Below are 21406 nucleotides of genomic sequence, written 5' to 3'. Positions count from 1 at the left end.
CATCGTCTCCTCCCCAAGGGAATGATCAGTTTGGCACCACCTCTACCTTCTCTTCTAGTTGAAGGCATTATGTTTAGAAAACCCTTACGGCTTCTGCTCGGTTTACCCAAAGGGAGCCCAAGAAGGTCTTGGCTAGGATTTGGGGAGAAGAAAAGCAGGGAGCCTTGGAGGTGTGCATGTCCAGGCAAGCGTGGTGCAGTAGGAGACAGGGACTCAGAGAGGGATCTTGCCAGGAGTGAAGAGTATGTATTTGCTTTGAGTGGCCATCCTGCCCTATCTCCTGGGGGTGTGGAGCACTCAGTTGATTGGATGAATGTGGCACCAGCATCTAGGAAAGTCCCTCATTACTGTTCAGAGGGAAATGTCTGCAGTGGAGGGAGACTGTCCTCAAGGGAAGGGGCTACCCTGAGAGACCTTTTTCTAGTTCTGATCTGTTTTTGCCTTCTTGCCTGAATGTGCCCAGTTATAACTGAGACCAAGCACCAGTGTAACAGAGGCCCATGCATCCAGGCCCGAGCAATCTACAGTGACTGCAAATTCCCTTATTTTGTGTAAGCCCCAGAAACACTGGACTGAGGGAGGGCAACAGAAAATATCCCATTATCAACACAAGCTTCTCCACACTTTCCCCAGCGTCTGGCTCTCAGGTGTGCAGAACAAGTCCAGGGACTCTGGGACTTAGCTGACACCTCTACTCACTCCTGGCTGAGCTGCTGAACTTGTTGGGGGCCAGCTCCACAGGGCGACTAGACAGGCCTCATCCCATGAGGTCCTGAGAGGCCTGGGGGCTAGACTTGGGCCAAGGTGTTGCTGCCGTGAGAAGCACCCACCCCTAGCTCTTGAATTGCTTTCCCCCGAGGTACAGAAGGAGAAGCTGGATAGAGGAATTCACAACTCTGGGTAGAATAAAAGTGAACATTTAATGCCACCATAGTTTGATTTTTTTTTAAACACCAGATTCTTTTTTGACAACATTTTACACCTCATATGCCACAAAAAGTCAGAGATCGTAGCCAGCAAACAATGTCTTTACACTGGAAAATGCCACACAGCTTAATGGATTCATGTCACCAGTTTGTGAGAACTATAACTCTTTTTTTCTGGACTGTTCTCCAGGGAGCCTGCTCATATTTATCATAATCAAGCCAACACCTAACGTTTATATAGCTTGCAAAGGCCCATGCACAAAACTAGCCTGCCAAGGGGCTGCTGGGACCTGCCCAAGTACAGAAGAGTTGAATTTCTGACTTTAACAAATGAGTTTTATTGAAGCATTTTAACAGCAAACACTTGTGAACTAATAATGTTTTGAATGGCCCCAGTCTTCCATCTGGTTAAACAGTGGATTTCAGACAGTAACATTAAGCACTACCATTGAATTGTAAAACAAGATTTTATGAACTTATTTAGGAATTCACTGTTTCTGGCACAATAAATGCACCTGGGCAGACCTTGTCTCCACTTTTCAAATGGGCCCATTTCTACAGATAAGCATATTTATATACACATACATACATTACTAATCATGGAATTAGAGATCCAGAGCTTGAAGGAACCACAAAGATCATCTAGCACAATGTCTTCATTTTATAGGTTAGAAAACTGAGTTCTGGAGGAGTTAGGTAATATATCACGGACGGGACGACTGGCAAAGCTGGAATTAGAACTCAGGTTTTCTGTCCTATGGAATATATCACGGACAGGATGACTGGCAAAGCTGGAATTAGAACTCAGGTTTTCTGTCCTATGGAATATATCACGGACGGGACGACTGGCAAAGCTGGAATTAGAACTCAGGTTTTCTGTCCTATGGCCTTTCACCATGTCAGGTACCTCCTGTACACACACATCCGTGTATGTACACACACCTTAGAGGAATGGTATGTGTTCATGTCTACACATACCTGGTGCAATATGATCTGATGGGAAGAATCCAATAAGCTGGACTCAAGTCCCTGTTTTGCTATAAAACCACTCTGTGAACTCGGGCCAGTCAATGACTAGACTTCAGTTTCTTCATCTGTAAATGATTACCCCCAGCTCCTAGACAGACCTTTAATTTCTTCAAAGCACTTCCCATCACTTATACCACTTTCTCTTGATGCTCTCCCAGAAGGGCAGCTGTTCTGACCCCCAGTCTTCCACTCGGGAACCTGAGGCCCAGCAAAGCGAAGAGGCTCGCCCAAGGTTGCACAGCTAGTAACAACCAGGCCTGGCGGCCCATGTCCTTGCTCCTAGCTCAAGGCCTAGCCCCTCCCTGCCTCTCGGGACCCAGTGAGGGGACAAAATGCCTTAAGATTGTAAGACTCACTAAAGTACTTTGGTTTTTCCAGAGGAAAAAAACAGGTACTATATATATCCAAGCTAAGGAACTCCAATTGCTTTCCCAAACCCTCTTCAGTAGCACTAGGGGTTGGATGGGAGTCTTAGGGAAATGTAGGGAACTAATACTATCAGCACTTTCCTCAGGAATTGAATGTTGAACCATTAGGAAGAGGCTGAGTCCTCTTCCGTGCAAGCCGGTGGGCGTGGATTTCCAAGCCCATTCTCATCAAATTCAAAACGAAGGGATCTTTCCCATTTGGCTGCTTACTACAGAAACAGCTTAGATTTTGAACTAAGCCCTGTGCATTGAGGATTGGACCCTAATCCCTATTCTCTTGCTTTATCTGTCCTCTCCCCATCCCCCAGCCCATGTTTCCACTAACAGACTTTGCTTGAGTGAGAAAAACATGGAAAAAAATAGCCACAGACAGATCCAGCAAATCTCCACCTCGATGCACGGCACGTGGATAGCATTTCCAACCGTGATGCATAATAAGTAAATGAGAGAACACGAGCAATGCTGTAAAGCAACATCCTGAGTTCACAAATAAATTAGAACTTCTTCATAAATCAAATATTACAATGTGGGCTGTTAGCAGGATAGGGAATGAAAGAAGGAACCTTTTTTAGTGTTGAAGGTAATTTCTAGGTACGCATGGAATAGATGTGTGAGTGTGGTATTTCAGTACTCGCCTCCACACGTGTGGACCTTGGGAACAACTATGCTTAGAGATTAAGGTTTGTATGCAATGAAGGCTTGATACTGCCCCAAGCCGCACTGTGTCCAGTGTTATGACATTGCTGCAGGTTCTGGGTAGGGCCACCCAAAAGCAGAATGTGTTTGTTTAGGGAGGGATAAATTAGTTTCCAGGAATTTTCAGAAAAAATTTTTTTGAGAAGATGAGCTTAAATGACAGTATCTTCTCCCGGATTAGAATTACGCTTGCATTATGATGGAAATAATGAACAGGTTGTAATTTTAAAATGTGTCATTTTGTCAGGAAGATTACTAAGTGATGCACTTTATAAGCTGTTACCCACCAATGTTGACAGATACTTTCTGGAGGTGGAAAAAGAGGTATCAGAATCCAAAGAAACACTGCCCCCACCAAAATTTGAGACCCATTTACTTGCATCAGTGACACTGAACACCCAGCTTTGTTTCATTTGGTGCAGAGAAAAGTGGGCTGTGTGCCTTTCCTCCCTGCCCAGACTCCCGTGTGGTGGCATTGAAGAGTGTCCTTCATGGGGGGACAGCTGGGCCACATACCCCGGCGGCAGCATGGAGGCCCCAGGGACAGTGGCAGCAGACGGCTTAGCCTCAACTAATAGCAAACAGGACTTTCAACCTCTTTCTCACTGGCAAGTTTTCAGGGTTTAAGACGTATTGTCTTTAGAAGCGAGGGACTCTGTGTGTGCTCCAAGAATGGGTTACTAGTCCAGCAGGAAAGAACAATGAGTACAGGCAGGACTCCTTCCTTTTTTAGTTTGGAAATTAACTCATCTTTAGTCATTTTACAGTCTAAAATCCTTTTTGGAATAAGAAACCTAAAAAACCTAAAAACACTCAATATAATCAGCAGTGGCCAATGATATAGACGGCTGTGTTTGCATTGAACAAATCTGCAGATTTGTCAGCCTTGCCTTCTATCCAAAGAAGGTGGCTGGTTTACAAGGACATGAGATACACACCCAAGTGGGCACAACTGCATTTTTGGTCAATACAAACAGAACTCTGAGATTTTATCAGAAAGTCTGAGCAGCAAGCGTGAGACTTGTAGGTGCGTATAAGACTTTTTGAACCTCCACCCTGGATGGTAGATGCGGCTGGACTGAAGTCACTACCGCCTTATAAGAACATAATAGACTTCAAGTTGAAGGCTAATTTATGACAAACCAGGCCAGATTCCTGCCTGTCTAATTCCCCACGCTGCGATGCCTGGCTGTTTACCCCAGCTTCTCATGAGAGGAGCCCCTTCTCCAGCTCAGGGGTTCCCACCTTTGTCAAGACAGGACACATCTCTGCATTTGCATCTTAATGCTCCCCCATGTTAAGAATGGCAACTGGCGAATAAACAACGGGCAGAGTGTTCTGATTCCAAATCCGGAAGAGATGAAAGAGACAGCTTCCTCGTGATGTAGAGGGGAATTCAAGGACAACAAGATCAAAGTTTGCAGCTCGCAGGTGGGAACTGAAAGCCCATGATAAAGCAAACTCTCGCTCCTCAGCACCACCGTGCAATGCGACGTGGAGTGACTCCCAGGGACACAATAGCACCACCGCCCGTTCTTAGATCTTAGTTTTGCTCCGCTGCTAATGCTTCCACCTCACATATTTGGAGCAGGGGGTGAGGAGGACAGGTTCACACAAGGAGTTAGACCTATGCATCTAAATGTTAATTTCAAATATTTTTTTCTAGTCCTTTCGCTTGTGGGTAATGAAATAGAAATGGGTTCGTTGATATTCCCCCTTGCCTCCTTGGGTTCTCTATCACCAAAACCAAGGGGAGACCTGGAACTATCATGTCTGGCCACTGGGTAAGGCATCCTCCCGTGACTGGGACTGCTTCAGAATGGTCAGCCGGAACTCCTTCCTTCATCATCAATACAGTCAATTTATAGGCAGAGACAGGAACAAGCACATCATAACGTAAAATGCCTGATTTCTTCATGTGGTTTATCAATATTGGTAAATTAACATGTTTGCAGCTTATTTAGGTCAAAAAAAAGCAAAGAGAAGAGAGAGAGAATGGACAACATCAACATAAAGCATTCTCCTTCACCGTGGCCTGCGAGATCCTGCGAGGTGTTCTGTGATTGCCATCTTGGGAAGGAGTCTGACTTGCTAAGAGAACTCTTGGTTTCCTTCCGCCTTTTGTTACAGCATAAAGTTGCTACAAATGGATAAAAGCAGATTTAGGCAGGAGGCAAGCCGAATGCCACTCCCCTCGGAAGGATTCCATCGGTTTCAGTCCAGGAAGGGCACCAGGCTCTGTCACTGGCTAAAGGAAGGCAGTGCAGCATGGAAGGAACCTCAGGGGAGGATGTGGCAGGGGCGAAAGCCAAACTCATCGATGACTCATCAGATGAGTTTCTTTCCAACAAAAACAGAATATTCACCTTTGAAAATCTCCAATTAAAGACTTTTCATGAACTATATGTTTGAAACCAGCAACCAGCAGCCCAATGGCAAACTCGAAGGATTGGCTTCCCTTTGGGTCCAGAAGCCTCCAAGGATATTACTGTTAAGCAAGCCCACTTACACAAGTGCTTTGAGGCCAGAGGCGAGCCCAGAGCATGCGACTGTCCTGCAGAATGGGGTCAAGGTTAAGGAGCTCAGGGAGGTCCTGCTTCCCAGGGCAACACACTTGTCAGACTTGGGAGATACACAGAAGGAAGAACGAGCCATGCCAGAGCAGCCTCTCACTGTAGTTTAGCCTGTTCAGCCAGCAGATTTGGGCATGTCTCCTGTTTGCACCTTTGCATAGAAGCAGACTCTTATGGAAAGTGCAAAGCCAGACTCGTGACCCAGGGAGCTGGCTTCCAAAGCACATGAGCCAACAGGGCCACCTGAACCCTGTTCTGATAACAAAGGATCAGGTCATGTGAAGCTCACAAGACTTCGGTTCCCATTTACCGAGTTCAGCCAGCTGTGTGGGCTGCAGTGTCCAGAGGTACACTGACCAAGAAACGTAGTGTTTTTTTCCCCGCTTGGGGAGTGGCTGGGGCTGAGTTGTTGGTTAATAAAGACAGCCTAGCTTGGAAATAAATAGGCTCATGAAGATATGCTGCATTTGAGGGCAAAAGGGAAGCGTGCTCTGCACACGCCTAAGTACCATCCTCGATGCGAAGGCTGCAGGGACTCTTAGATTCTGGGCTGCACTATCATCAGCACCACAGCTTTTATCAGGGAAATCCCTTGACCACTCTGTACCCCAGGTTTCTATCAATCACTAAAATGGGTATCATAATTCCTAAGGGAATTGTTATAGGGAGGAACATCTGAATTTGAGGTCCTGAGTTGTTGGGAGCCAAGACCTGGACATCCATAGTCTTCAGCTATGTTCTGCCTATCCAGGGTCGTGTGAGTTATGGAGGGGAAGCTCTCTCTGCCTTTGGGCAGGAGCAAAGACTGAGAGGACAAGCCTGTCCCTTCTTGGCATAGAGGCTTTGGGACACAGGAGAGCTGAAATCCTTGTACTCTGGACAACAGACAAGATGTACAGTCTCAAGAATCCTTCTTCTAATCCAATACAGTTGAAGTCTCTGAACAAGCCTGAGAAGGTCTCTCAGCTGGGGAAAAACCCACTTTAATCAATCTACAACACAACACTAGAAAATACTAAAGAAAGAAATATGGCTCTGGTGAATTGGTTCCAGCTTTCGTTCAAGACTTTTTGGAATAAAAATGAATATGAATTTTGAGGGCCACGCAAACTGTGGATTTGTGGGTCAAGGAACCACATGTGTGGAGGACTTGAGGGGGGCAAACGGTCTACAGAACATACGGCCCACCTCCCAGGAGCAGGGAGGGCCCAGGTCGCAAAGGACTCCTCCTCCCCTGTGCTGCAGGTGCCGTCTCCTCACCTGTTCTCTAAAGCACCTGCCCCACAATCAACCTTCTGGGTCTACCTGACCACGCTGCTTGTTGGGATGTGGCATCGAGGTCACCTGCTGCTCCAAACCTACTTTGGAAACACACACACTGGCTCGTGCCGAGGGAAGTCTCTCTGTTTGAGTGGCCTCACCAGAATAACCATAAAAGACAGGTAATATTTATTCATAAGCAATACTGATTAAGAAATAGCTCTACAAACACAACTTACTTAGAAACAGCAAGTCAGAAATAGGATAAAACACCAAGAGAAAAAGAGCTGTGAATACATTTCCAAAATGTTTTTCTTGTTTGTTTTGTTGTTTTCATCTTGACTAGCACCATCTGTACACAAGAAAGTATGAACATAAATGTTTGGATAATAATAAAGATTTGCAAGGCACTTAATCAGTCATTCTGGGTTGTTTTGTGTTCGCTTTCCACAGCAATCCTACATCCACGCCCCTCCTTTCTCACGAAAGCAAGAGAAGAGTGAGGTCTCTTTTGCTAGCAGTTCTTATGTACAAACAAGGTCTTTAAGGTTCCTCAAAGTGCTTTTTCAGTCTCACAGGGCTTGGACACCCCTCGGGCTTCCCATCCTTTTCTCCTTCCACGGTGTTTGACGTTTGCACCTTTCCTACAGAAAACAAAAGAAAACTCGCCTTCCGCTCAACGCCCGCTCCAGACTTGCCACCAACCTTCATCCTCATTCATTGTCTTTGATGCCCCAGCACAGAGGGCCTAGGGGCGTGCAACATCTCTGAAGTCCTGGGGAGCGGGGGACCACTAGGACAAGGGTCTGGCTCATCTACCGGCGCCTGGAGGTGATGTCGAAGCAGGTGATCATCATGAGATGGGCCTTGCAGAAGTTGACACGGCTCTCCAGGCGCTCCGTCACACACTCCAGTGCCTCCAGGTACTCCAGGGAATCCAGCTCCCAAACCTGCTCCAAGTCAACTGCAAGAGAGGAAGAGCCTGATGGAGACGCAGAGCAAACAGGGTGAGAAGCAACTCCCGACGGCTCAGCCTGGAGCTGCCACCCCCACATCTACCCCTTGGTCTAAAGGTCTAGTTCGCTTGCCTTAGGCCACTGCAGAGTTCCCTCCTGCCTGATTCTCGGCCTCTTTTGGGTTGAAAGGAACACTCTTTACCAGTATTTAGATCCTTAAGGTTTTTTCTGAGATTCTACTGACCAATAAGGTGACATTCTAGCTCCCCCTACCTCCAGCCATGGAGGATCCAGGATGGATCCCAGGATTTGAGAGACGCTACCACACTATTCACTATCAATCAATCAAGTAAATAATTCAAGTTGAGGTGGGGAGAGTCCCTCCCTTTTGGGGGTCTCAGTTGAGTGACATTTATACCTCTGCTTCCTTATATGAAAGGACGTTTCTGGATTATAACCCAGATGCCTTTCCTGATGTTCAGGCCTGCACAGAGTAAAAAGTCTGTATCATTCCAGGCCTGAAGAGCAGGTATCTGGGATCAACCCCTCTGGCATCAAGTCCCCTGCTTTGTCCAGAGGTGGCCGGGCAGAGGGATGGGCTGCCTGGCCCAGGTCCAGGGGTCCAGCAGGCTCCCAGTACGAGGAGGAGAGGCGTGGACAGCAGTCCAAGGTGGTGGGATGGCCCTGGAACCCCAGGCACGAGACAAGCTCTGAAGAGACGAGCTCTGGGACCTCCACCTCTGCTGACAGTGTCTTTAAAGGCATGTGAGAATAGTAACTCCTACGCTGCCTGCCCTGCCTGCCTTGAGTTGCTGTGAAGAATAAAATGAGATAATAATGAACACGAACTTGATTTGAAAACGATGCCGTGCTATGGAAACACTGGGGCTTAGAGTGGCCGCTGTCTGCAGAGTGTCTTCTTTCTGCAGATGAGGTCCCTGAGAGCTGGACAGTGACGTGACTCACTGAGGCTGACACAGTTAACCAGGACTAGAGCTGGAAGGAGACCGAAGGCCCTGAATACCAGTTTAATATTTAAAAACCAAAACAAAAAAGCAAAAGGAGACATCATTCTATGACCACATCAGACTACATTACTGGACAACCTTAAAAGTGGCATCAGAATGAAGAAATAATAGAACTAAAAATGGATCTTTCCATGCCAGTCCCCTGCCTCATGCCCACAGGGAATAGTCAGCAGGCAGCTCATTGATCCTTTTTTTCATTACTGTTTTCAATTCATCTTCAAGAAACAATATATATTTCCCCTTTCATGTAGCTTTCTGTTCATTTTCTTTCTCAGCATCAAAAACACAGTGATTTTTGACATGTACAAAGACTAGAAGGAAGCAATTGTTTCCTGGAAGCATCTAAACACATATGTATTGATGTTTCAGCTTGTTCCCATCCTGGGAAAAATATGACTGACTTTGTAAGATGAAGATAATTTTCAAGTCAAGTCTGCCTTGGGCATAAACAGTTCTTGAAAATAAAATGTTAATGAAAATAGCAAAAATGAAGGAGAGAGAACTGACTGACTGAAAGGAGGCCCCTGGGATCTTGAAGTGGCCAGGGATTCCTGAAACAAGGAAAAGGGTATCCGCAGCGGGGAGGGATAAGCACAGCGCCCCGTGCGCATGTCACGCGCAGACAGTAACCAGCGCCCTCGCCCCTGTCTGCCCTCCCCATTAGCGCCTTCGATGAAAGGCCCTCGCAGGACTAGTTCATGTCTTTCTTTGCTCAAATTTCTAACAGAAGATCCAACTCCTCAGTGCATCATGCAAGCAGACACGAAGGAAATGCCTCCTGTTTTTTATTTTTATTTTTGAGACAGGGTCTGGCGCAATCTCTGGCTCACTGCAACCTCAGCCTCCTGAGTAGCTGAGATTACAGGTGCCCGCCACCACGCCCGGCTAATTTTTGTATTTTTGGTAGAGACAGACAGGGTTTCACACCATGTTGTCAAGGCTGGTCTTGAACTCCTGGGCTCAAGTGATCTGCCCACCTTGGCCTCCCAAGGTGCTGGGATTACAGGCGTGAGCCACCGTGCCTGGCCAGGAAATGTCTCCTGTTGTTGAACTTTGGGATAATAGTAATAATTACTACCAGATCCTGAGCTCTCATCCTGGGCCAAGCAGTGTAGTAAGCACCAAGAGGACCAACGGGAACTGATTTATACCTCACAACTGCCCTATGGTGTAGTCACCATTATTTTTCCCATTTTACAGCTAAGGAAGTCAAGGCTCAGAGTTAAGTGTCTTACCTGAGGTCCCACAGCTAGTATGTGAGAAAGCCAGCAGCCAAAGCAGGTCTGTATGCCTGTGGCCACAGCGGCAAATGCTGCAACTTAATATTATATTATAGAATGCTCCACAGACTGTCCCAAGAATCCAATGAGTACTTAGGGAAATGTTGTTATCACCTTATCCCTGTGGAGAGGCAGCTGCTGCGAGACTGCAGTTACATGTGGAAGGCACAGCTGGGAGGCTGACAAGTCCTGCCACTTTCTTCCGCACCTTCACCCAGGACCATTTCACACCAATATCTTTTCAACCAGCTGCTTTGGAACATAAACCTAAGCTTCCAGCCTCCACCTGTAGGCCCTCCACACTGGCTGGGGAAGACTGGAAGAGGGTTGGGGCAGTGCAGGGGAGGGGCTGTACAAAGGAGGCCTGCCGGAGGCTGAGGGCTGGATGGGAAGGGGAGGCAGAGGGAACTTGAATGGCAGGAATGTATTTCACCCCACAGACTGAGTCTTCCAGCATTAGCTCCTATATCCGTGTAATAGCTGGGACCAGACTGAAGTTTTATTTTGTGCTAAATGGAATGGTCAGGAACTAATAAGACAAGACAATTGAATCCACCTTTCAAAGAGAGCAAAATTGTCCTGAATTGTTATTAGATGGTTATGGTCATCCTGGGCTTTCTATTAAATGGAAATAACACTGTGGCTGTCTTTTTTTTTTTTTTTCCACTCAAAAATGTTTTCCTTGCTTTCTGGGTTCTCTGCGTGGCTTTTCGAGGACTGTACACTCTACCTTTTTAAGGGCTCTATAAATTCTTGTCTATTTCAGGCTAGATATGCAGTGTGATTTTGTGGCCTAGGAGATTTGTAATACAGCCTTCATGTCTGGGTGATCTTCTGCCACACGCAGGGGGAAAAATCTCATTTTCAGGTGCTTTGGACTGAGACACGTAGAAATAATCTTGCAAGAGCAATATTCACCACCCCTCTGCTGTCCCGGCCCCTCCCGCCCATCCCCAGGGGAGTAGGGCTGCTCGCTCGGTGCAACTTCCTCCATTTGATGGGCATCCTGTGACTGAGGACGAGGACACAGCCTGTGTCACTGTCACCCTGGGCTACACGCCAGCCCGGTTGAGCAGGTGAACCCACTAGTCACAAGGGTGGGAAGGCACCCCGGCCTTACATTCACTGAGCCACTTGTTGGGATCCAGCATCAGATACTGTTTGGTCGCCTCCAGCTCCTTCATCAGCCACTCGTACTTCGCGCGGACCTCGGCGATCCTCTGCTGGCGGTGTTCCAGAATCTTCAGCTTTGCATTGAAGCACATGGCCTCCTAGCACACAGACAGAGAGGAGAAAGGGCCCTTCTGCTCACACCCAGCCCACACCACAGGAGCACCTGTGAGTATCGTTGATGGAAAACAGGCTGGGCTTGGAGACGTGTGGGAGGGACATGGGTCATCCCCACCAAATTCTCCCTTGACAGACCTCAATTCAGACACCTCACAAGGTAGGACTATGACAGACCATTCTTGGACTATGACAGACCATTTTTGGACTATGACAGGCCATTCTTAAGTTGAGAAAGCAGGTGGTGGGTGTTCAAGTTGGACAAAGGTTGGTTAAGACTGGGAGCCTCAAGGAGCCAGAAAAGCCCCCAAGATCACCAGCCCCCGACCCCTGGCTTTGAAGCCCTTAAAACATTTCAGGAAGAGAAACATGGGGCTCTCTCCAAGGCCTCTGTCCAAAGGCCCTTTGCTGGGACAGAAGCCCCCTTCCCACCACCCATGCCAGAAGCCCGCTGGGAAGCCCGGGTCTGAGTTTTCTTCCCCAGGGCCCTGCCTAGCACCTGCTCAGGCTTGGTGGGGAGCTGCCACCACGTAGGCAGGGGGTGGGAAGGAGGCTGCCTCACCTTGCTGGCACCCCCTCGTCGCCGCTGCAGGCGCTCCACGTCATCGATTTCATAGACTTTAATCTCAAAGGGTTCCCCAAGGCCCCTCGGGCTGCTCCGCAAGGGGCCATCCACCCAGCGGACGCCTGTGCTGTTGGGGGGTTTTCTCACAGGGGAAGAGGTGTCCAGGGATAGTGCTGGGATAAGCCTCCGTCTCTGAGAACCTGAGGAGGGGGATAAGCCCAGAGAGTTAGTCTTTCTGAATTTCAATTTTTTTGTTGTTTTTTTGAGACAGGGTCTTGCTCTGTTGCCCAGGCTGGAGTGCAGTGGTGCGATCCATAGCTCACTGCAGCCTTGAATTCCTGGGCTCAAGCAATTCTCTTGTCTCAGCCTCCTAAGTAGTTGGGATAACAGGTGCACACCACCACACCCAGCTAATTAAATGTTTTTTTTTGAGAGACGACATCTTGCTATATTGCCCAGGCTGGTCTCAAACTCCTGGCCTCAAGTGATCCTCCCACCTTAATCTCCCGAAGTGCTGGGATTACAAGTGTGAGCCACTACACCCTGAAATTCAGCTGAAGCCTGAATTTCAATCTTTTAAATATTTTGTGGATGTAACAGAGGAGGTCATGACAAGCACCCCAGGATCTGAGGTAGGGCTAAACACTCCCACTTCCCACCACCCACCTCCACCTCTACTCCCCTAAACCAACACTTGGGCTTTAGCTCAGCAAACTCCCTGAGGAATCTTTAGAACCGCCTCCTAGTTTCCACCTGTAAAACACGCAGCCTAGGGGGCATCCTCAGCATGGATAGGTCAAAAGGTCCTAGCATTTGATGTCATTACAGGAGTTCCAGAAAACACTGTTTATTTGCTTATAACAGCAGCAGTAGCACTCACATGCACTGGTTACGTGCCTGGTACTATTTCACACACTTCACACGTTGTGACGAGGACGGCTAGTTCTCTCCCAGTATCTATCCTCTTTCTTTCACAGCAGAAGAGACCCTGGGTATTAGTGAAGCACATGGCTCCCAGAATGGAGACTAAACTCTTGCATGGTACAGGGGACTGACGTTTTGATGAGCAGATGCCAGCTGAAGCATGCCTCCTCCAGGAGACAACAAGGGGCACTCACTGCTGTGTTAATTTTCTCTATGGAGTGAACTCTGGGCTCCGAGCTCCTTTTGCTTCATATTAAACCTCACTGTTTTTGAGAGGGAGTCTCACTCTGTCGCCCAGGCTGGAGTGCAGTGGTGTGATCTCAGGTCACTGCAGCCTCTGCCTGCTGGGTTCAATCAATTCTCCTGCCCCAGCCTCCCAAGTAGCTGGGACTACAGGCGCCCGCTACCACGCACGGCTAATTTTTTGTATTTTTAGTAGAGACAGGGTTTCACGATGTTGGCCAGACTGGTCTCGAACGCCTGATCTCAAATGATCCACTTGCCTCAGCCTCCCAAAGTGTTGGGATTACAGGCATGAGCCACTGTGCCCGGCCAAAACCTCACTTTTTAGAGCCCAGATTTGATCTTGTGTAGACACATACACAATCGCATTTAGTTTCCAACAAAGTGCAGGCCCCAACTAACGAAACTAAGTAACATCGACCACGGGAATAAAGCAAATGTCTGTCTCCTTAGCGTGAGACACCTACCCTGGGAAGGGACCAGATCAGAGGGGTTTTTTTCTTTTAAATCAGTCTGATCAAGCTAGCTGACTGTTTGTTGGCAAACTGTTTAGCTTCTGTGTGCCTCAACTCTAGCTTCCAAATGGCTGCTGTGTAACAAATAAACCCCAAACCCAGCGGCTAAAACAACAAACATTGATCTCACATATCCCTGTGGGTTGGGAATCTGGGAGCAATTTTTGCCAGGTGGTTCTGGCTCAGAGCCTCTCGGAGTCGCAGGCAAGCTGTCAGCTAGGGCTGCACTCATCTGAAGGCTTGACTGAGGTTGAAGCTTCCATTTCTAAGCTCACTCATGTCATCATGGCAGGAGGCTTTAGTTCATTGCCATGCAGGCCTCTCCTACACAGGACTATTTATGACATGGCAGCTGGCATCCCCCAGAGGGAATGACCCAAGAAAGCAAGAGGGGCACCCAGCACAGAAGGTGCAGTGTCTTTTATAACCTACTTTTGAAAGTGACATACCATCACTCTGCCTTACCTCACTCAACAGAGACCAACTCTGGTAAATACGGGAGGGGACTACACAAGGGTGTGAACACCAGGAGGCAGAGACCATGGGGGCCATCTTGGAGCCTGGCTACCGCGGATGGGATATGATCAGATGGGAAAATGTCTTGGATAAGAGCCACCCTCCATCTCCTGCCAATACCCGTGCCAGGGCACCGTGTGAGATGGGAGTAGAGAAAAACACCTGGAGAGTCCTGCCAATACCCGTGCCAGGGCACCGTGTGAGCTGGGAGTAGAGAAGGTAAAAACGCCTGGAGAGTCCTGCCAATACCCGTGCCAGGGCACCGTGTGAGCTGGGAGTAGAGAAGGTAAAAACACCTGGAGAGTCCTGCCAATACCCGTGCCAGGGCACCGTGTGAGCTGGGAGTAGAGAAGGTAAAAACACCTGGAGAGTGACATTTCACTGGGCTACAACAGCTTCACAGAAATATCCTGGCGGGTATCTACTTCCTTCCCATTGCCTCCTTTCCATGCCATCTAGCAACCTTGAACTTCCTCACCACATCGATCCCTCTCAAGGTGAAGTGAGTGCCCACTGTCAGGTTAGGTGTGGTTTGGGGGCTAGGAATACCTTTTTCCTGCACACGAATGAACAAGTGTCTTGGATTTTCGTAAAATTCTGAATTTGGGTACCAGAACCTCAATCCCGTGAATGGATTGATACTCAGTTCCTGCACCTCCAGCTGAGGCTCCCTCTCCCCGCGCCTGTCTCCCTCCAGAGGTGCATGTGAGCTTCACTTAGGTGATGGTGAGGGAAGCCAAGTACTGGGGCAGGGGTAATGTGGTCAGGCTGAGGAAATGGAGTGAAGTGGCCTGAAGGGAGTTCAGGGGCGGAGATGGTGCCCTCACATTACTGGAAAGGGCACAGGAAGCGATGTTACTGCTATGCCATCCCTGGGCAAAGAAAGACTGACCCGAGGGTCCTGGTCTGGGGCCCCATATAAATAAGGGTTCTTAGATTTTCTGCATGCTCCAGCATTTCCACCTCTCAAGCAGATGCCCAGTTTTCTGCCAAGCCCGGTCTCTGCCAGGGATCCCCTCCTTCCAGGCTGCGAGTGGGGTCAGGGGACCATCAGCTCTAAGAAAGGTACAGGGGAAGCCCCACCCTGGCGGGAGTCGTGTGGTGCCCCATTGGACGCCGCCTGTCTGATCGGGGAGCCACAGCCAGGGCCAGCCTCCTGCTGACGCCGGTGGGTTGGGCTCCCTTCTGCTTTTCAACCCCTCCCTGCTCATCAGCCTGGCATTTGGTCCAGGCATGTACAAGTGCAGCATGTTCAAAACACTTGGGCTGATACCTGCCGACATGGATTTACCGCATGAAATGGCCCAGATTTGACCTGAGAAAGTCAACACTGATACTTCAGTGAAACTTCCAACCAGGACCTCTCCCACTAACAGAGGCTGAGCCCACCCCCTCGCCCCTCCTGTTCCAGGCCTGGCTGACAGCTGCGTGCAGTCAGAGGGGTCGCTGGCCCATCACAGTCCATCTTCCGGTATCATCTGCGGTGCTGACAGCCCACGTGAGAAGCTGACATTGGGCCTTCTACTCTTAACATCCCTGAGTCCAGACAGAAGTCCCCACACGAGTCTGCAGATGCTGCTGCTGAGGTTAAGTGTTGGGAAACATGGGTGTTCTGAGTGCTGAGCCCTCTCAGCTCCCCCTGGGGAATATGCTTCTGCCCATTCCCAAACTCCTGCTCCTGAGAGCCCTCCAGCATGGCTTTCGCTCCATCGCCCACTGTCTGCATTCTGATTCAAAGAGTAGGCACTAGGAAGACAGTCAAAAAAGCACGAGGCACTAATGTTGAAAGGAACTGTAGATATCAGAGCAGAGAGAGAAAGAGAATGTGAATCAATCCATGTGATTTTGTTGACCAGGAAGGGGCCAGCTCCATGATGAAGAACGATGCTGGCTGTGTGGCCTGCTGTCATGTTTTAGCTGAAAAGGCAAGTGCTCCCGTGCTGGGGATGAGAAAGAGGCAGGTTCTCCAGGGCCACAAAGCTCTCCTCGATGCCGAGCCTGGGCTTCCTCCCGTGTTCTCTGCGATTCCGAACCCCGCACCTAGGACCACAGTGTCATCTCACAGCATCAGCGCCACCTACTCTCTTTGGGGTTCTATTCTAAGGAGCTTCCTTGGTGTCTGAGAGAATCAATGACTCTCCTCCTTTTCCCCCAACTGTGTATTCAAAAAGGCTCTCATTCTGAACCTATTCTCAACTGGCTCTAGGTTGGTTCGCTTAGAAACATTCTGGAAATCTGAAGTCTGACAGCAAGCGGCTTGCCTTCCTCTGGTTTTCATTAAGCCAGTGATCACTGTGCTGCTTGAATTTATTAAAACAAAACCAGGATGTGCCTGAGAACCAAACGAATAGGAGAGGTTGGCAGAGCAAACCATGGTGCCCTCGGTGAGGAGCAATTAGTCACAAGTTTTTGTGCAGCGCCCTGGGAACTGAACCTGGTAGCCTGGGAGCTCAATTCACTACAGGTGCAAGTCACAACTCACAAGACAGGCCCATCAGTCAGTAATGTTGACTCAGCACCAAGAGAAAGGCACAGGGTCTGGCGCTTAGAATGACAAAGTAGCAGACTAGACTCAACACTTAAAGCACTTAGCACCAGCAGGAAAAGATATGAGAAATACACAGAAAATAAACATGAGTAAACTTTCAGGACTGTGCCGCCAACCAAGCAACCAGCCCATCAATGAATCAACCAATAATATCCAACAGTAACCTGCACCAGCCCAGTGCTGGGCACCAAGCAGGCTGGGTCGAGCGCAGAACAGGCCTTGCTCATGTCCAGGCGGGCCAAGGTCTGGAGCATTCCAGAACCTCCATGCTTCCCTGAGGGGCTTCTCTTCAGGCAGACCCTCCCTCACTCCAGGGCTTTTCTGGTGCTGAGCCTCCCTGTGGTGGGAATGAATTTAATTCAGACCAAGGTGCTCATCTAACTGTCAGACTTCCCCATCCAGTCCAAGAAAAGGAAAGCAAGGGAAAGAATCCAAGGAAGTAACACACCAGGATGAGGGTGAAATGTTAAGAGACTGGAGGAAGAAAATAGGATTGACATAACATATAATGGATGATAGGGGACGGGGGAGCGCGAGGACTGGGGGCTCAGGGTAGGGGCTCAGCTGGTGTAATTATGGCATCAACTGTGTATCACAGATTGACATCCTCAGCTGCTGATATGTGCACTGGCCAGGACAGACATTCCCTTCCCTCCTGGGCTCATTCTTGGCTCTGGGCTATACACAATTTCATCTTGCTGACCATAGAGGGGCTGGCAAGGAGCTGTGGATGAAGCAATGAAAATCCATCAATAAAAGCAACATCATTTCTCTCACCTTATCACGTTGTTGGTCAAGAGCCTGTAATGACTCCCCATTGCCAACTACAATAATATACTGATATTCTTTTAGAACTATGTAGAATATAGAATAATGTGTACTGTTCTTGTAGCTCCCAGATGTTCCAGGTGTGACTGTGGCTTGTGTTTGTTCCGGGTGTGACTGTGGCTTGCGTTTGCTAGCGTCTTGCTCTGCTTGCTGGGACGGTCCCTCCTTGAGTTAATCTCGCTGTGTCGCCCACAGGCCAGGCTCTTGCCGCTGGGAGTTTGCAGTCCCATCCCTGCCTCAGCCTCGATGCCCTGCGCCCTCTCTGCCTGTCCCGATGTAAGCACCCTCCCGGACCAAGCTCAATCCCGACATTTCTCTGCAGCCTTTGCCTTGCAGGATCCTGCTTTGTCTAAATGCTCTCTCCACTTGGGCCTTCACTACCCCACTCAGCATCTGGGAATGCACTCAGTTCACTGTTCTCTATTCCACGCTTTTCACCCTTTCTCTCCAATTAGATTACAAACTTCTTACAGTGGCCTTGTCCCCTGTGCCGGCTGCCTCCACCTCCACCCACACACCAGAAACTATCACCAAGCTCTAAGAGCACAGAAGATACCTGGTCAATGTTGAACAACTGAAAATAAACCCCACTGACTACAGATTGCTCTAAGGAAAAGACATCACATGACCATAACATTATTTAAATTATCTGCATAGTCTCATATGATGTGGGCAGCAGAGAGACCATGGCTATTACCTATCAATCTTCTCGTTTTACTTGCATATGAGAAAATTGAAGCTCAAAGAGGACAGTTATTCCCCAAAGGTCACACAGCTCAAGATTCTAAGCCTCCTCCTGCTTTCTAACTTAATTCACTGCACCCTGCTATGGCCGGTGGAACAAGCCCAATGCTGCACACTCCTCAGCAACATGGACCTCCAAGAATGAGAAGACAAGAAGGAACCACGGTGATATTTGGTCGTTTCTGCTGTTACATGTACTACCAAGGAATCAGAGAGGTCAAGGTTATTTTCCCAATAATTCTAGTTCATTTTTACTAAGGAAATAAGCATTAAAATATTCCAAATTCAAAAGCCATCTCAGACAAAAGATGTCTCCTCTCTGGTTCCAAACACCTCTCATAATTGTAAACTCTAGCCATCTAGTTAGGAATTTCCTTGGAGGAGTTTTATAGCTTCTCTTAAAGAAGTTGCTTTTGATTTATGCTGACCATGTCTGACAGCCACCGTTTCTCTTAATAATAATCATAAATAAGCCAGACAAGGTCACCTAACCTGAAACCAGCACATCTCCACTGCCACATCCATCATGGAGCCTGGATCTACAGCAGCTCATCACAAAGGTCTTCTGCTCTTGACATTCCACATGAAATCCATTTCTAGCACCTGCCCTGGCATTTTAATTTTACACTGTTTTCCTCCAATAGCCTTACCTAACCAGAGGCTCCTAGAGGACAGCATTTACGAGAGCACTTAGCCCAGAGCAAGGGCGTATGCAGAGCCTGCTGCCTGCTCGCCAAGCAGTCACTTCACACGTTTGTTTTTCCATCATTGTTCTTCCTCTTTACTCCACTGTAACCGCCAAACCAAACAATAAAAGTCTTGGGGAAAAAAACAAAAACCTGTGAAAGCCACGGAAATAATGAAATGGACTGGTAGACGCAAGGCACTAAATTTGAGTCCATGAAAGCACTGTGGGACACTGAAACACACGTGGCCACGCAGCCGATGCCACACAGTCATCTGGACTTTGAAGACCGAGGCTGCGTGGATTAGAATAACAAGAGTTCATTAACCAGGTACTGGGAAGGCCGGCAGATGCTTTCCTGCTTGTTATTTTTACTCTCATCAATACGTTTCAATGCCCTTGGCCCTGGCCATAAGACACAGAAGCTGCTACGTTACACGGAATGGCTCTTCCTTTTCAACTTGTCTTAAATGGGGTTCTGCTCCAAGTGCTGTCACCGAGATTGAGGGGTGAAGTAAAGCAGAGTCAAAGCGTATCAAAGACTGAAGCATACCCCCCCCCCAGGCAAATAAAGATGTCAAGGTACTGACAGCCACGATGATTCCCTACCATGCTTAGAGCCTAACATCCCCATGGCCAAGTTCTGTGATCTGTGATGAGGGGAGCGGATGGGGCTGTCTATATCATAAAACTACATCTGCATAACTACACCATCCCTTAAGGTGGATTTCTTTGATTCTAGGAAGAGGAATGGTTTATAATGTTCACTGACCACAGCCCTTACATTTGGAACATTCCAGAGTTTGTGCTCGCCTGTGGTGGGAGAACAGGAAGAAGCCACCCCATGACAGAGAACAAGCCTGTGGGGCAGTTGCTGGAGCAGTAGGAAAGGGGAAGCCCTACATCTGTGTCTCACCCCATCTTTTACTTCCACATATGCTGCGGGCACGGATCCCTGCAGGGACCTGGCTTCTGAGAGCATGTGAAGAGCCTAGTGTTGCACAGAAGGGCAGCGGGAGGGGAGAGACAGGCCAGGAGGGCAGGAACCCGGCCGCCCTGGCTTCAACCAAGCCACAGAATTGCACGTGGGGTTCTGCGTAAATTTCATTTATTTTTTTTTAAGCCCTTAAAGGATGAGCAGGGGTAATTTCTTTGGAAGCCACTTATGAGCAGAGATGATTCCAGGCAAAATTCTCAAGTAGCTTCAGTTGTTCTTGGGAACTTTTGCCTCTGTCTGTCTTTTTCTCTCCTTACCATCCTTTCATTTCTCCTACCCCAAGACCTCCAGGGCCACCAGCTCTGACCCGGGTCCTCTTCTCCTTGCCCATCATAACTTACTGTCATGTGCCACCCAAGACTCCAATTAACAAGTCTGTGGGCTTTATATATTAATTATTCTGGAGTACGTGCCTTTTGATAGGAGATTCTTAAAAATGACAAAGACTGACTGGGTGTGGTGGCTCACGCCTGTAATCCCAGCACTTTGGGAGGCTGAGACGGGCGGATCACTTGAGGTCAGGAGTTCGAGACCAGCCTGGTCAACATGGTAAAACCTTGTCTCTACCAAAGATAGAAAAATTAGCCAGGCACGGTGGTGCACGCTTGTAATCCCAGCTACTCAGGAGGCTGAAGCAGGAGAATCACTTGAACATAGGAAGCAGAGGTTGCAGTTTGGCAAGATCACGCCATTGCACTCCAGCCTGGGCGATAGAGTAAGACTGTCTCAAAAAAAGGAAAAAAAGAAATGGCAAAGACTTTCTCCAAAATCACGCATTTCAGGCATCATGGTGTGTGTGGCGGGGGGCACTGCAGGCCCTGTGGCAGGTGTGCAAACATGACTGTCCACAAATATGTTTGGGGTGGAGGTGGAGGAAGGGCCTCGCCATTCCACTTTCAATGGGACAATCTGTGCGTTATCCCACATCCCTGAGAGAGGCTGCCAGGGTCTTGCAGGCCACCAACCTCACAGGAGGGGCTTCTGAAGCCACCAGGTCATGAGGGTAGGTACCCTCACCTGATCCCTCAACAGGCTGTAAACCGTCCACAGGATCCTTGGTTGTTGAACAGAGGGGCAGGGGTGAGGGAATGGACGGCGAAGAGCCAGGCTGCCCCCAGAGCGAGCAGGTGCGGGTCATGCTGCCACCTGCATCCGGGCCCTCGCCTTTCCACCCTGCTGAGCGCCAAGGGATTCACGGCCCTAAGCCTGATGACGGCACGCAGTAGGGCAGTTTCTCACAGAGAAACCCTCCGCGGTGATGTCCCCGGCGGAGCCCCGCGGGGTGCCGGGCCGTGGGAAAGGAGAGGCCAGGCCTGGACGCCCCCTCCCCAGGGCACGGGACACCCTGGCAGTGGGGTTTGGGCAGTTCGCCCACCTG

At 48.8% G+C, this 21406-nt stretch overlaps 1 protein-coding gene and 1 long non-coding RNA gene across 2 annotated transcripts in view; one reads left to right on the top strand and one right to left on the bottom strand.

The window, feature by feature from the left end:
- The window catches only part of KIF26B (kinesin family member 26B), a 554448-nt gene continuing 533943 nt past the window's right edge, over window positions 902-21406 (bottom strand). The window contains exons 13-15 of the mRNA NM_018012.4: window positions 12026-12228; window positions 11297-11447; window positions 902-7876 (exon numbers count right to left, since the gene is read on the bottom strand). Of these exons, the coding sequence (NP_060482.2) occupies window positions 7728-7876; window positions 11297-11447; window positions 12026-12228 (503 nt within the window). The 3' untranslated portion in view covers window positions 902-7727. The remainder of the gene's footprint in view (window positions 7877-11296; window positions 11448-12025; window positions 12229-21406) is intronic.
- Window positions 11426-21406, top strand: part of LOC105373265 (uncharacterized) — a 32746-nt gene continuing 22765 nt past the window's right edge. Inside the window, exons 1-3 of the long non-coding RNA XR_007066988.1 lie at window positions 11426-11514; window positions 14188-14579; window positions 15638-15812. This is a non-coding gene — a long non-coding RNA (uncharacterized LOC105373265). The remainder of the gene's footprint in view (window positions 11515-14187; window positions 14580-15637; window positions 15813-21406) is intronic.

The sequence above is a fragment of the Homo sapiens genome, chromosome 1 (genome assembly GCF_000001405.40).
Source record: "Homo sapiens chromosome 1, GRCh38.p14 Primary Assembly".
Classification (NCBI taxonomy): Eukaryota; Metazoa; Chordata; class Mammalia; order Primates; family Hominidae; genus Homo; species Homo sapiens.
The sequence above is the reverse complement of the archived record's forward strand: the minus strand, read 5'-3'. Positions and strand labels throughout refer to the sequence as shown.